This window comes from Homo sapiens, chromosome 2, assembly GCF_000001405.40.
Source record: "Homo sapiens chromosome 2, GRCh38.p14 Primary Assembly".
NCBI classification, from domain to species: Eukaryota; Metazoa; Chordata; class Mammalia; order Primates; family Hominidae; genus Homo; species Homo sapiens.
This window is the reverse complement of record NC_000002.12, coordinates 182,842,352-182,857,539: the sequence shown is the minus strand read 5'-3', so window position 1 is coordinate 182,857,539 and position 15,188 is coordinate 182,842,352. Positions and strand designations below refer to the sequence as shown.

At 35.8% G+C, this 15,188-nt stretch overlaps 1 protein-coding gene and 1 long non-coding RNA gene across 2 annotated transcripts in view; both read left to right on the top strand.

Annotated features, from left to right (window-relative positions):
- FRZB (frizzled related protein) overlaps positions 1–15,188 on the top strand; it is a 33,363-nt gene that overhangs the window by 9,098 nt on the left and 9,077 nt on the right. The window contains exon 3 of the mRNA NM_001463.4: positions 14,997–15,062. Within this exon, the coding sequence (NP_001454.2) occupies positions 14,997–15,062 (66 nt within the window). The remainder of the gene's footprint in view (positions 1–14,996; positions 15,063–15,188) is intronic.
- LOC124907916 (uncharacterized) lies at positions 137–10,965 on the top strand. Its single transcript, XR_007087330.1, has 2 exons — positions 137–3,409; positions 10,448–10,965. It is a non-coding gene; the product is annotated as an uncharacterized LOC124907916 (long non-coding RNA).

The window sequence follows — 15,188 nt, the reverse complement described above, 5'->3', positions numbered from 1 at the left end:
GTTCAAGCAATTCTGCCTCAGCCTCCCAACTAGCTAGGATTACAGGTGTGCACCACCACACCCAGCTAATTTTTGTATTATTAGTAGAGACAAGATTTCACCATGTTGGCCAGCTGGTCTCTAACACTTGATCTCAGGTGATCCACCCACCTTGGCCTTACAGAGTGCTGGGATTACACACGTGAGCCACCATGTCCGGCCAAGACCTTTCTTCTAATATAATGTAATGCTATAAATACCCATCTAAGAATGACTTTAGTTGCATCTCACAAATTTTGATAGTTTCATTTTTCTTCAGTTCAAAATATTTTATATTTTTCCTTGATATTTCCTTTGACTTGTGCATCATTTGGGATTATGCTGTTTAATTTGCTGCTTTTTGAGGATTTTCCTATTATCTTTGCTATTTTTCAAATTCTACTGTTGAAGAATATACTTTGTGTGATTTCAGTTCTTTTAGATTTATTAAGGTTTATTCTCTGATCCAGGATATAATCTGTCTTGGTGAATGTTCCATGTACACTTAGAAAAAAGAGTATTTTGCTGTTGGGTGGAATGTCCTTTAAATGTCAATTCAATTTAGTTGATTAATACTGTTATTTAGTTCTTTTATATTCTTGCTGATTTTCTGTCTACTAGATCTATTGATTACCGAGAGAAGGGTGATTAGGTCTCCAAATATTGTGGATTTTTCTATTTCTTTTTTCAGTCTGTCAGTTTTGCTTCATGTATTTTGAAGCTCTGTTTGGTACATACTTGTTTAATATTTTTTATGTCTTATTGGTGAATTGATGTTTTCATTATGTAGTGTCCTTTTATCCTTGGTAATTTTCTCTGCTCTAAATTATATTTTTTCTGATATTGCTATAGGTAATTCAGCTGTCATTTGATTAGTGTTTGCAGGGCAAAACTTTTTCTATCCTACTTTTAACATACTTAAGTCATTGTGTTTTAAATACATTTCTTGTAGACATCATATAGTTGGGTCTTTTTAAAAAAATCCATACTGTTGATCTTTGTCTTTTGATTGGTATGTTTTGACCATTTGCAGCTAATGTAGTTATTCATATTTGTATTTAGATCTACTGTTTTATTTTCTGTTTGTGCCCTCTCCTTTTTATTCACATTCTCTTCTTTCTTTTGGATTGTATCTCTCTCTCTCTCTCTCACACACACACACGTATGTGAGATATATATATATCCTCATGAGATAATTTTATATTTTTTCTTTTAACAATTACATATCTTTTAAACAACTTGAGGAGAATAGTAGCCTACTGTATTTTTACAGATGTTTTAATTTCTATTATTCTTCCTTCTTTTCCAACATTCCATACTTCCTTCTGGTATTCTTTCTCTTCTGTTCTTCAGACAGAAGTTCTGTCTGAAGAACTTTCTTAAGTATTTTTTGTACTTGTTTTAAAGCAGTTCTGCTGGCAAAAACTTCTTTTTTCCTTTACCTGAAAATATTCTCATTTCACCTTCATTCCTAAAGGATATTTTCACTGCATACAGAATTCTAGGTTTGCAGTACATTTAGCACATAAAAAATATTCCACTTCCTTCTGGCTTCAATGTTTCTCATGGGAAATTGGCAGTCTTGCAAATAATTGTTTCCCTGTAAGTAATACATCAGTTTTCTTTGGTTGCATTTGATTTTTTTTTCCTGTGTCTTTAGTTTTTAGTGCTTTAATTATTACATGTCTGGGCATTGATTCCTTTGAGTTTACCCTGTTTAGGGTTATCTGAGCTTCTTGAATCTATAAATTTATAATGTTAGCCAAATTTGAGAAGTGCTTAGGAATTATTTCTTCAAATACTTGCTTTTTACACAATAGTCTCTTCTATGATGATATGAATGTTAGATCTTCTGATATTGTTCCACAGGCCCCAGAGAGGCTCTGTTAATTTTTTCTCCTAATCTTTTTTCTCTCTTGTTTAGATTAGGTAATTTCTATTGGCCTAGCGACAAGTTCATTGACTCTTTCGTTGGTCTTGTTCAATCTCCTACTCTCTGAAACACATCCAGATAGTTTTTATTTGTTAGTATATTTTTCAAAGTTAAAAGTTCCATTTGATTCTTCATTATATTTTGTATTTCTTTGGTAAGACTTTCTATCTTTCCATTTATTTCAAGGGTATTCACCCTTAATTTGTGAGGCATTTTAATCATAGCTACCGTAAAGTCATCTGTGTCACCTAATTGTCTTGTCCCACTCAAGTCAACATTTTTTTCTCTACATCTTCATGTGTAGAGTAATTTTGGGTTGAATCCTGGACATTTTGAATATCATGCAATAAAGCTTTGGGTCTTGTTTACTTAAAGTTATATGGAAAATGCTGATTTTCTTTTTTTAATTTTAGCAACAGTTAACCTAGTTAGGATTAGGCTGCAAATTCTGACTGGTCTTCTGTGGGTTGTGATTTTAATGTCAGTTCCATTTCCAAAGCCTTCGAAGTACCTTCCATATCTATCCCACATGTATACCACTCAGTGGCCAGTATGAGGTCAGAGCAATACTTTATCCTACAGTGCAGTTTTTGAAATCTGTGATACACTGTTTTATGTCAGAGTCACACATGCCCAGGGGTGACTTCAGTAGTTCATAAACAACTTTACAAAATCCTTTCCCAGGCTCCTTTATCTCTCTGATCTCCCTTGCACTTTTCAGTTCCTTGGAATTCCCCCGTTTTGGTCCTTTGGCTAGAAAGCTTTATCCTACTCTGTGATTTGCTTCTTGTGACTGCTCCTTCCTATGGGGCCAAGTGGTGGGAGGACAGAGAAAGAGAGAGAGAGACAAAGTAATGGGGATTTGCCCCAGTCTTTTGGAACTACAAGTCCTCCAATCAGAGGGTAAGATTCTCTCCTTCATCAAAGTTTTGGGCTCCTGAGGGTCTCCCTTGTTGCAGCCGTTGCTGTTACCACAGTCCCAGGATGCCTGGAGGAATGGAATGCAAGAGGCTGATATGTTAGAGATCCTTTCCACTTCTTGAGTTAGAACTGGAGTGTACTCTGTCTGCAAAATGCTTGCCTCTACGATACAGGCTGTGTTGACACCAGACTGGTGGATACCAGAGGGAAAAAATGATGAGCCCACTATAGTTTTATGGTATTATTTTCTCCCCCCAGTCTTCCTGTTATGCTTGTATTACGTTTTAGAGTTCTTATGTTGCTGCTTCATGCACTCTGTTCAGGTTTCAGATCTGCTTTCAGTGGGAGAAACAAGATGGAATCTACTTATTCCATCTTACCATAAAATAAACCATTAAAGTATAACATGCATGCAGAAAAGTGCACAAATCATAAATGTGCATTTTCACAAAGTAACCACTCTCTGCAACCAAGATATGTAACATTACCAGCACTCCAGAAGCCTCCAAGTCACTACCCCCACCCTTCTCTTCAAAGGTAACTACTCCCAGGAATTCTAGTACCATAAATTCATTTTGCCTGATCTTGAACTTTATATAAATGGAATTCTACAGTATGTATTTTTGTATATGCATGTGACTTCCTATGCTTTTCATTAGGCTGTGTATAGCAGTAGTTTTTCACTTTAATTGCTATATTGTATTCTATCATTGAATGTGGTACACTTTATTCATTCTAATGTTCATGGATATTTGGGTTGTTTTCAGTTTTTGTTACAATGACTAATGCTGCATTTATTTCTACAATATGATAGCTGCGATGAGTACCATATATTCCATTTCACTTTCCTCTAGTATTTTGCACTGATTTTGGTGAGTATGTCCTGCCTTATAAGGTGTCTTATCTGTGGAAATGAAACATTTATTTTATTAAGTTGTAAATAAGTTTGAAATATCAACTTTCATTACATTGGGACAGTTTTCTCTGTTGACTTCCACTGAATCTTATCATGGTGATATGTTTGATCTGAGGGAATGTCTACCAAAGGTGTCCCAACAAATATTTATCCCATTAAATACATAAGTAAATTAAAATTATTTTAGAATTGTTTTGTTACTTTATATAATTGATAATGTTTTTCAATATCATGAAATCAGTTGGAAATCATTGCTGTCCAGTAATGTTGCTATTTGAAGGGTCACTCCTTCTATTATGTTTTCTCAACCCGAACTGAAAAGCTCATTTGTATAAAACTGCAATTGGTGGGTCAAAATTTCTGGCCAAGGACATGTATATGTTACCAATTTGTTCCAAAGTTATGGTTAGAGTAATATAGCACTTCAATGTATGAAAGAAAGAAAACACATCAACAACACTATCAACAATATACAAAAAACAGTTCAACATGTAAAACTACCTAGAACGAATGTGGTGTTCTCAGAGTCAGTGTTTACTGTTCGTCTTTTAAAAATGTTTTCCAGTTCTCTGGCATAATGAGAGTGATGAAAACAAATAGGCAAAACCAAAGCTCATTCTGTTTGTGAAAAAAACACTAACATGTTCACATGTTCTGAAAAGGAAATATAATTTGTTCACACTCAAAAATTTATGCTTTGGAGAAATGTAACAGCTGAGGTTGATCATGATAAAACAGGAAATGAGGAAGGCATGAAAACACTGTAACCCACATAAGGACCTCTTTCCAAAGTGTCAAGCTGTTTCTGTCTGGAATTTGGAAAAGAAATTCTTTCACTCTAGTTAATATATTCTTTGCCTCAAAGCTTAACTATTTTTTCTTTTTCTTTTTTTGAGATAATGACTCTGAACAGCATCCAACTGTACGTTTTACTGTTGCAAATTCACTATTGTAATAAGGAATAGATGCTCTTTATTTCCATAGCGTGTAATATGGAGGAAAACAATTTTTGTTCTATTTCACCTAGTCACTTGATCTATCAAATCAGCACACAGAAAATTAAAGCAGATATTCAAGTGGTCCAATGCAAAGGGTTTTTTTTAATTAAAATAATTCCAAAAAGTAATTCTTCCAATTTTCTGCTTTGTGAGGGTGACCAATTTATGAACTTTCACATTTGAAAAACACAAATGTCTCCAGAGCGGAGATAGAGTTGGTAAATTCTGACACTAAATATATAAATGTGACCAAATTATTTCTTGGGGCCTGTTTCCTAATATAAAATCAGATTGTATTGATCTGAGTTCCCTTCTGATTTATCTTAAATTAGGGAACATTAGTGTAAGTCAGATGCTCTCCCAGAGTTTTCACTAACCTGCTCTTGGCGCTGTTCCAAAGGTGCTCCAGAGAAGCTCCTCTGGGTAGCTGCCTGGTGGCCACTGAGCAACTGGAGATTCCTGATGACTGCAGCTGCCAGGCCTGCCCAGCCACTCCCACTTTTGCTGACATGATTTATGCTTAGCTTGGGTAGTATAGACCCATTCCCTCTCTTTCTTTCTATTACACTTCTTTCCTCCCTGCTGGCTTACTACCAATTTTGGGAAGAAGTTCAGTTTTTTTCTTTGGTACAAATGTTTACTGACTGTAGAGCCAACTTCCACACCTTATTGGAAAAAAAAGGATAGACAAATAGTATTTTTGTGATTTTACAGTAGCTTAAAACTATAGGATTTTTTTTCCCCATTACTTTGCAACAACTGATACTTTTGACCAGTTCTCTTTCCTAAGCATTTCTCTCCTTGAGCTATTACCCAAATTGTCCTAGTTCTTCTCTGCTTGTCCCTCAGCTATAGACAGTCACTGAGGCTCTGTGCTTGGCTTCTGTTCCTCTCTCCTCATAGGGATTCCTCCTGTTGGAGTTCATCAAGCTACATAGGCTGAATTATCATTTTTATGACTCTAGTTGTGATTACTCTCTAGGACCACATTTCCCTCCTGTAACACTTCTACCTGGGTACTCTTTGAGTACTTCAAAAATAATGTATTTAATTACTGAAGTTGTTTTTTTTTTGTTTTTTGTTTTGTTTTGTTTTTTTGAGATGGAGTCTCACTCTGTTGCTCAGGCTGGAGTGCAATAGCACGATCTCAGCTCACTGCAACCTCCATGTCCTGGGTTCAAGCAATTCTCCTGTCTTAGCCTCCTGAGTAGCTGTGATTACAGGCACCCGCCACCACGCCTGGCTAATTTTTGTATTTTTAATAGAGAAGGGGTTTCACCATGTTGGCCAGGCTGGTCTCTAACTCCTGATCTCAGGTGATCCAACCACCTCAGCCTCCCAGAGTGCTGGGATTACAGGCGTGAGCCACCGTGCCCAGCCCTGAAGTAATTGTTTAATTAAAACTTTCTCTTTTGTAACTTTCTCATTTAAGTATGTGACACCATTGCTTTTCTAAGTCCCTAGTACTGAAACTTTATTTGGTTTTAGTCCACCGATCTCACCATTCATTAGAAATGTAATGATTTGTCCTGCCAAAAAGCTTCTGCACATCAAAGGAAACAATCAACAAAGTGAAAAGACAATCCATAGAATGAGGGAAAATATTTGCAAAGTATCTGGCAAGAGCTTAATAACCAGAATATATAAGCAACTCTGACAATTCAATAGCAAAAACAAAACAAAAAACAACAAATAATCTAAAAATGGGCAAAAGATCTGAGCAGACATTTCTCAAAAGAAGACTTACAAATGGCCAACAGGTATATGAAAAAATTTTCAACATCACTAATCAGATAAATGCAAATCAAAACCACAGTGAGATATCTCACCCCAGTTTGAATGGCTTTTATCAAAAAGATGGAACAATAGACGGTAGCGAGGATGTGGAAAAAGGGGAACTCTAGTATACTGTTGGTGGGAATGTAAATTAGTATAGCCACTAAGGAAAACAATAGGGAGTTCTTCAAAAAACTAAAAATAGAACTACCATATGATCCAGCAATTTTATTACTGGGTATATATCCAAAAGAAAGGGAATTAATACATTGAAGAATATCTGTATTCCAATGTTTACTGCAGTGCTATTCACAATAGCCAAAATGTAGAATCAACCTAAGTGCTGATTAGTGGATGAATGGATAAAGAGAATGTAGTATATATGCACAATGACATATTGTTCAGCTATTAAAAAAAGTGAAATCCTGTCATTTGAAGGAAAATGGAACTGGAGGTCATTATGTTAAATGAAATAAGCCAAGCCCAGAAAGACCAATATCACACGTTCTCCTTCATATATGGGAGCTAAAAACAGAAAAAAGTGAATCTCATGGAGCTGGAGAGTAGATTTGTGGTTATCAGAGGCTGGGAATGGTAGCGTGGAGGAGGGAATGAAGAGAGGATGATTAATGAGGACAAATATACAGTTAGTTAGGAGGAAGACCTAGTGTTTGATAGATCAGTATGGAGACTATAGTTAACAATAATCTACTTGTACATTTCAATATGTACAATAATTCACATGTTCACAGCATAAAGAGGAATGTTTAATGTGGTGGATATTACCCTATAACTTGATATTTACACATTATATGAATGTATGAAAATATCAATGTACTCTGAAAATATGTCCATCTATTATGTATTAATAAAAAATATAAGGGACACTTACTCGTATCAGGCACAATATGTGCCAATGACATGGAATGAAAGAGCAAATAGGTGACTGGCACTCCCTTTCCTTTCACCTCTTTTCAATACTTGGCATTGAGTGGACACATGGTGTTCTAGAGGCTGTGAAGCCCCCTTTTCTTTTTGTTAATTGACTTCCTTAGAGTCTATCTCAAAACAACACTTCAGAAGTCATGAGGGAAAACAAGCATAATTGTATTGACTCTTTCTATATTTTGGATATTCTGAATAACTCTTGGATGCAGAAAACTTGTGAAAGGCAGTTTATTTGAAATTTTCCAAAGACAAAAAGGAATAAACTGAATTTCCTTTTCTTATTAATATAGCGTTAGTTCTGTCAGTCTTAAGCAATTTCTTTTACAAAGTGCAAATTACTGTGAATTGAGTCCTTTATTACAATATTTGAGGTTTGTTTTTACAGCTAAGTTGAGCAAATGTTACTTTTACTTTGTAAAGCCTTGTTATATCGCCTAGGTTCACCAGTCAACTTCATCACATTTTCCATATACTGGTGTAATCCAAAATAAAATTTAATATGATATTCTTTGCCCTGTGTATAGGTGTAGGAAATAAATATTGTTTTACATAGGTAATGAATGGTTACTAAGTCAAGACACACTTCCTTTTATAAAAAAATGAAAGAAATGTCTTATTTTTTGTTAATAGGACTTTATTAAGGTATAATTTATTTACAGTAAAATACTACAAATCTTAAGTGTATGCTGCATTTAAATTTTGACAAATGTATATATTTATGTAACCATCATCCAGATCAAGATAAAGAACATTTATTTATTTATTTATTTATTTATTTATTTATTTATTTATTTATTTATTTTGAGACGGAGTCTTGCTCTGTCGCCCAGGCTGGAGTGCAGTGGCGCGATCTCAGCTCACTGCAAGCTCCACCCCCCGGGTTCACACCATTCTCCTGCCTCAGCCTCCCGAGTAGCTGGGACTACAGGCACTTGCCACCACGCCCGGCTAATTTGTTGTATTTTTAGTAGAGACGGGGTTTCACCGTGTTAGCCAGGATGGTCTCGATCTCCTGACCTCGTGATCCACCCGCCTCGGCCTCCCAAAGTGCTGGGATTACAGACGTGAGCCACCGCACCCCGGCCTAAAGAACATTTCTTTAAATTGTCTGGTGTCTTATCACCCATTCTGCCCTGAGGCAAGCACAGTTCTGATTTTCATTGCCATAGATGGGTGTCGTTATTCAGCTTCACGTAAATGGAAGCATACTGTACACACTTGGGACTGGCTGCTTTGGCATACCATGGCATTTTTGAGACTTTGAGTTCTGTGCATCATTTTATTTTATTTCTAATTGTGTAAAAGTACACCCTTGTATGAGCATAATACCAATATGACTTCTATATGGTTCCTAGTTTAATATAGTTGATTTCTGAATCTGCAGGAGTTGTGCTGTTGTTGTTGTTGTTGTTCGTTTTCTTCCCTTTCATCATTGACACCAGGACTCTAGGGTTCGGGTGTTTTGTTTGTTTGTTAATGCCCTAGGAACAATAAGACCCTGTCGGTTTTCCATTAAGTGTCCATTTGATGACTTGCAATTTTGGGAAGAGGGAATGTGTTCCATGGGGTGGAATCTAGGGATGTTTTACTATCGCCTTGTTTCTAGAAGGATAGTGGAATTGACCTCCTGAATGGCCAAGTGGTATATTGCCCATCTTCTGTTTTAAGGGCTATCTGAACAAGTTCCACCATGGCATCCATTCCTGCTGCTGTTTTGATAGCTGTGATGATAAGGTAGATGATCCATCTAGTGCACTGATTTCTTCACTTTACTAACCTGCTTGTCTATTCTACCCCAGCCACTCACTTCCATGAGCAGTTCTGGGCCTTTCAGTGGTGCTAGCAGTGGTGCCAGCATTGTAATATTAATTCTAAGAATCCCATTCTTTGCCTGCTGCCTCTTTTCATTCCAGATGATTTGTTGCAGTATCATCACTGCTGTTTTTTTTTTTTTTTTTTACCATGTTGAGATTACCTATCCATCAGCTACTGCTTACTATCTGCTAAGCCTCTGGCCTTCTTGTCTATGTGAGATATCATGGTCTACTGCAATACTGATACCCTTGAAGATACCCTCAATTTCTTTGCTTTCTCTTCCTCTTCCATACTCATCTGGCAAATCCCAACTCCAGTTATTTGAGAAAATTACTCAACTGAGGTGACTGGTTTCACTTTAAATTCAAGATAGAAAATTCAAATAGACAATCAAGATTGCCAAGCATTCTTACCCACTATAAGGTTTGCCTTTCTATTTGATGAAATAACTGCTTTATACTTTCTTTGCTTACATGCCCACATCCTGCTTTTCGTAGCCCCTCATTCCCCATAGCTGATGACTTCACTTCATTCTTCAATGAGAAGGTAAAAGCCATTGGAAAGAACACCCTCATTATTCCACCAACCAATTTACAAACTTGTCAATATCAGTACCTTTCTCTCCTTTTCCTTCTTGTGTAGTGGATAAAGTCTTCTAGCTTTCAAAGTCCTATTCTCTCTTTTGCTCAGGGTCCAGTCATCACGTTGCCAGTTGAATTTAGTGGACCCTTTTCTCTCTGAACTCATTTTAGCTCTGAGGGTCATTTGACACAGAGGACTACCCTGCTTTTATTTTGGAAGACGCTTTTTCAATTCCACACTCTCCTGTATTTCCTTCCACATCACTGGATGCTGCTTCTCAGTCTCCTTTATGGACTTCATATTCTCTGTCTTATATATAAAGATGTAGTTCCTGCCTAGAGAACTACAACTCACCCAAAGCTTTAAATATCATTTTCTCACAGTATATTGGAGGCCAGACTAGTTTAGGTCATTAAGTTATATGTTCTTATTACACATATACATTGTGTTTTAATTTCATGTCATGTATCACATGTGACAAATTATTTTGTGTGTACTTTCTTTGTTCAATGTCTTTATCCTCTTCTGGATTGTCTGTAGTGCCCATCATGTGTCCTACATGCCTATCACAGAGCCTGGAATGTAGCAGATGCCCAATATTTGCAGAATGAATGAATTCATATGTAAGTGACTGAAAGAGTTCAACAAATGTTAGTTCTCTTTCCCTTTCTCATCTCATATTTACAGAAGAATGGATACACCAGAGTTATGGAGTCAGAAGATACTACTATCAGTTCTACAGAAGAAAGACAAATTCATGGTGTGATGGATGTTACCAGATGTTAAAAATTATGGAACTGTTAAAAATTTTGGAACTGCTCATAGATACCTCGTACAGGCAGTTGGAAATATAGATCTAGAGCTCAGTAAAAAAGTCATAGTTAAGGACCTGGATCTTCAAATTATAAAATTTTATTTTTTATATCTTTTAAAATGTGTTGTGCTTTGCTCCTATGTGTTTTAAAATGGAGGAAAAGAGGACAATTGGGATTCAGGGGTCAAATGCCAGGATATGAGACTTACAGTGCATCTGGTAAAAATTAAAATGATTTAAACTCTGATCTGATTAGAAAAGGTCAGTCTTGAAAAAGTTATAAAGGAGATTGTAACACAAATACAATTGTATTTTCTTCTCTCCTTCCCCATAGTTTTTGACAATAAATCCTAAGCACAGATCTGAGGCTTTTTTTCCTAGAAAAAACAGAAAAATATCCACTCAAACATAGTAGTCCTCCAAAGTCATGGTACATGAAAGGTTATGAGAGTTTGGGGATCTGATGAAGTTAATTATAGTCTTACACCTCTGGATAAGACCCAAAAGCATTCAATTTCAAACAAAGGTCAGGGATAGTTAGAAAGTTTTATCACACTTAAGCTTGAACTCAAACAATGTTGCATTAAATAGTGACAGTCCAGTGAGTGTCATATTTCATAGCTGTATCAGGGACTTAGACTTCTTTAGATCTTCTAAGATCATATCAAAAATACTAGTATCCTTTTGTTTTTAAAAAATAAATGAGCATATTTGTATGAGCAAAACTGAATAAAGAAGGCTAAGATTCTTGTCTCCTCTGAACTATTTTGATCTTTATAAGAAGCTACTCTGAGGCAGCAAGGCTGTTCACTGCTCGGGCACTGCGTGTATCATGGGGCATTTCCCCTGAGCTGCAGACTAACTTCTGCGAAGTACTGGGCATGTTAACTTTGCAAACTCAGATTTCTTTCTACTAGGGTGATAAACTCATGTTTCTATGAAATAAACAGTCTCCAGGTTCATTAGCAGATATGTAGGAGATCATTAGTATTAGGAGAGTCACTAGAAAAATCAAGCAAGAGGAGTGGAAGGAATGTGAGGAAGAACTAAGCTGAAAATAGTTTTCTGTCCTTTCCATGGCTGCTGGTAAATGTAGCACTGCACTCTGTCCCACAATTGAAGGTATTGTATTAATTTCAGGCTTTGAGGTAAATGAATTGCTAATGTTAAAACTGCCCATGTTTGAAGATCTCTTTGTCACTACTTAGCCTATTTTGTCAAAACCAACTCCTTTAACTTTTAAAGTATTTTTTTTTCCTTACATAAAGCACCAAGGCAGATGCTAATTCATTTATAAGCTTTTCTTCTCAACAGTGAAATACAGAAAAATCAATATCTAATGGTTTTTGTGCAAAGCTCAGTAAATAATAGATTTCATTTTCCATTCTAAAAAACTTGTGCCATTAGGAGGTTGGGAGAGGAAGATTACTAGCAATTAAACAAGAAATGATGGTAATGCTACAGGCCCCCCAAAAAGAGTATCAAGAAATCAACTATAGGTAATAAAAATAAACTGTTACATCTGATTTAGGGTAGCAGGCACAAAAAAGGTGACAGCTAATGCATGCAACATACCTCTCTCTGATTCTTCACAATTTCACAGTTCTTGGGCTTGTGGGGATGTGTACGTTGATGTGTGTAAACATAATTCAGATGAGGATTATGTTTCAGATCTATTGATCTAAGATACCCTTTTCATGAATAACCTAAGATATGAATTTTTGGGTTGAGTAAGCATAAATGAGAGGAGGTTCTTTCATATTTGAGCTTTGTGGATATAAACTCAGCTTCTCCTTATTACTGTTATTTTATCGAGCTACTTGAACTATACAGATAATTTGCTTATGGCAAGAGCTAGGGATTGGGACATATTGTCCCATATAAATATTTAAAATATATATTTAGTATGGCATTGTCACCTTGGAGACCAGCAGAAATAAGAAGTATATTGCAGATGAGCAAAATTTAGTCCCGAGAATATTTGCTTAGCTCATTAGCTGTTAGGTAATAGTCTAGCTATGTATATGTAGTTGTATGCATAGCTTTGTAAATGCCTACTTGAAATATTACTAAATCATTTTGTAATATAATTTAAAAAAATCCCTGCCTGGAAAGTTTTATGGAATCCATTTGTTTATGCTCCAAGCAAAGATATGTAAGTAACAACATCAAATTAGACTCAATTCAGTGACAGTTGCTATAGTTTTTGCCAAAATTTTTTATTTGAGCACATGCAAATTTCTGAAGAATTACAAATGTGTAATTTATTTACATGACTTATTTTTGATAGATATTTATTTTTAAGTAGAAAAATCACAAGTCTATATATGGATGAGGATAATTTATAAACCTAATACCATAAAATTTACGTCTTCAGAAATATTCTCATCTCAAGAATATCTCTTTAAAAATACATGTAACATTTTAATACAGAATAAAATACAGAACGCCAAAAGCTAGGTAACTTTTTGTTCTCTTTTAAATGATAATACAATCATTTTGCTAATAAAGTTATTTTTGGAATAGTTTTTGTCAAAATAGCAACAAGCACTAATGTTACTCATTGTTTATTGGCTGAGATCTTCACAGAAATTGTGTGCTAAAAATTATCAGGAGAACAAGGGAAGGAGCTGTGTGTGGTATTGAGGAATTCTCATTTCTGTCATGGGCAAGAGCAACAGTTGCTGCTGCTACCTATCCCCAGTAGAGATACTTATTTCTCTGGCAGGAAGGGTGATACTCTTTTCGGGACTGCTATGTTAAAGTGTATTATTGACAAGTTCAACTGGAAATAAAATTTATTTTCATTAGAAAATACAAGTGGTCAACAAAAGCTTCTGCCTTTTATTGTTCCCCATGTTAACATAAAACAACTTTTTTTTTTTTTTGAGACGGGGTCTTACTCTATCACCCAGTCTGGAGTGCAGTGGCTTGAGCTTGGCTCACTGCAGCTTTGACTTCCAGGGCTCAAGTGATCCTCCCAACTCAGTCTCCTGAATAGCTGAAACTACAGGCACACGCCACCACACCAGCTGATTTTTGCATTTTTTGTAGAGACGGGGTTTTGCCACATTGCCCAGACTGGTCTTGAACTCCTGGGCTAAAGCAATTTTTTTTCCCCCACCATGTTGGCCTCCCAAAGTGAGTGCTGGGATTACAGGCGTGAGCGCTTGTGCCCAGCCATAAAATGCCTTTTAAGTGAAACTTTTTTTGTTGATGTCCTTTCTCTAATTTATGTGTTCTTATTTCCTTTCTGTGTCAAAAGAGAAGCACATACCATTTAATTTTTACTAAAGCTTTCTCAGGGGCATTATTTAAAGAAATCTTTACATATAATTAAATATTTTAAGATAATTGTGTATTATTTTCTACTTTTATATTGACATTAATTCCTGACAATTTGCCATGCTTATGATGTATATTTCTTAGCTAAGTAATATTAGCTTTGTAGCTCTTCTATAAAAGGTATAATAATCTACTCTTCAAGGTGTCAAATGAATCTACCCTATAGATGAAACATTTTGAGATAATTAGAATTGTTATTATTATGATGGCCAAAACCACAACTCCTTTTGTACCAACCTAATATATACATAAAATATGCATTCTGGTCACTACTCACCAAATATTGTTAAAAAATGAAATTTCTCTTTTCAAAATACCTGCATAATTTCCTCCAACAAGCACAAAAATACCATTGAGTTGAATGGTAGCTATTTTACCTATAGAAGGGGCTCACTGCCCCTCTTAAGAACTTCACCAAGTTCACTGGGTTGTAATAACACTTGCTTATCTCTTTGAGTTGCTTTCAGATCTAGGAGCTAATAGTAGGAGGAGTACTGTGTCATCTGTTAAAAGTAAAAAAACATTAGGTGATAGTCCACAGGGCAAACCAGCTACCTGAGCATAGGCAGAAAATTGCCTCCCAGTTGGTATTCATAATATTAATACTTCCATAAGCATAAAGCATACCTCTTTCAGGATTAAGGGGTCATGCTCTTCTCATGCATGGGGGTGAACAGCATTTCCTCAGGATTTGGGTGGTTTGTTGAGAATGGAAACTCGTTCTCATGAGCATACTGACATTGAATAAGAGGACATGTAGATAGAATAAACATGAATGTAGTTCCAGGAGAAAAAATTCAGACACACAGAATTGACAAGAGCCTTCTCACCACCAAATTGAGATCTAGTCTGAGCAAAAAATGTGAGTCTGAGCAAAACAAAAGAAAGCTAATATTGGAAATGTGCTTATAACTAAAATGTGTTTTTCAGAACGCTGTAAATGTAAGCCTATTAGAGCTACACAGAAGACCTATTTCCGGAACAATTACAACTATGGTAAGGAAAATTTCATGGTTGATGTATAAACTGCTGTGTTAAGAGAGGTGTGTGGATGCACCTATGAGGATGTGCACATGTAAACGAGTGGAGCCATTTAAGAATAAGGCTTAAAAACAGAAGGAC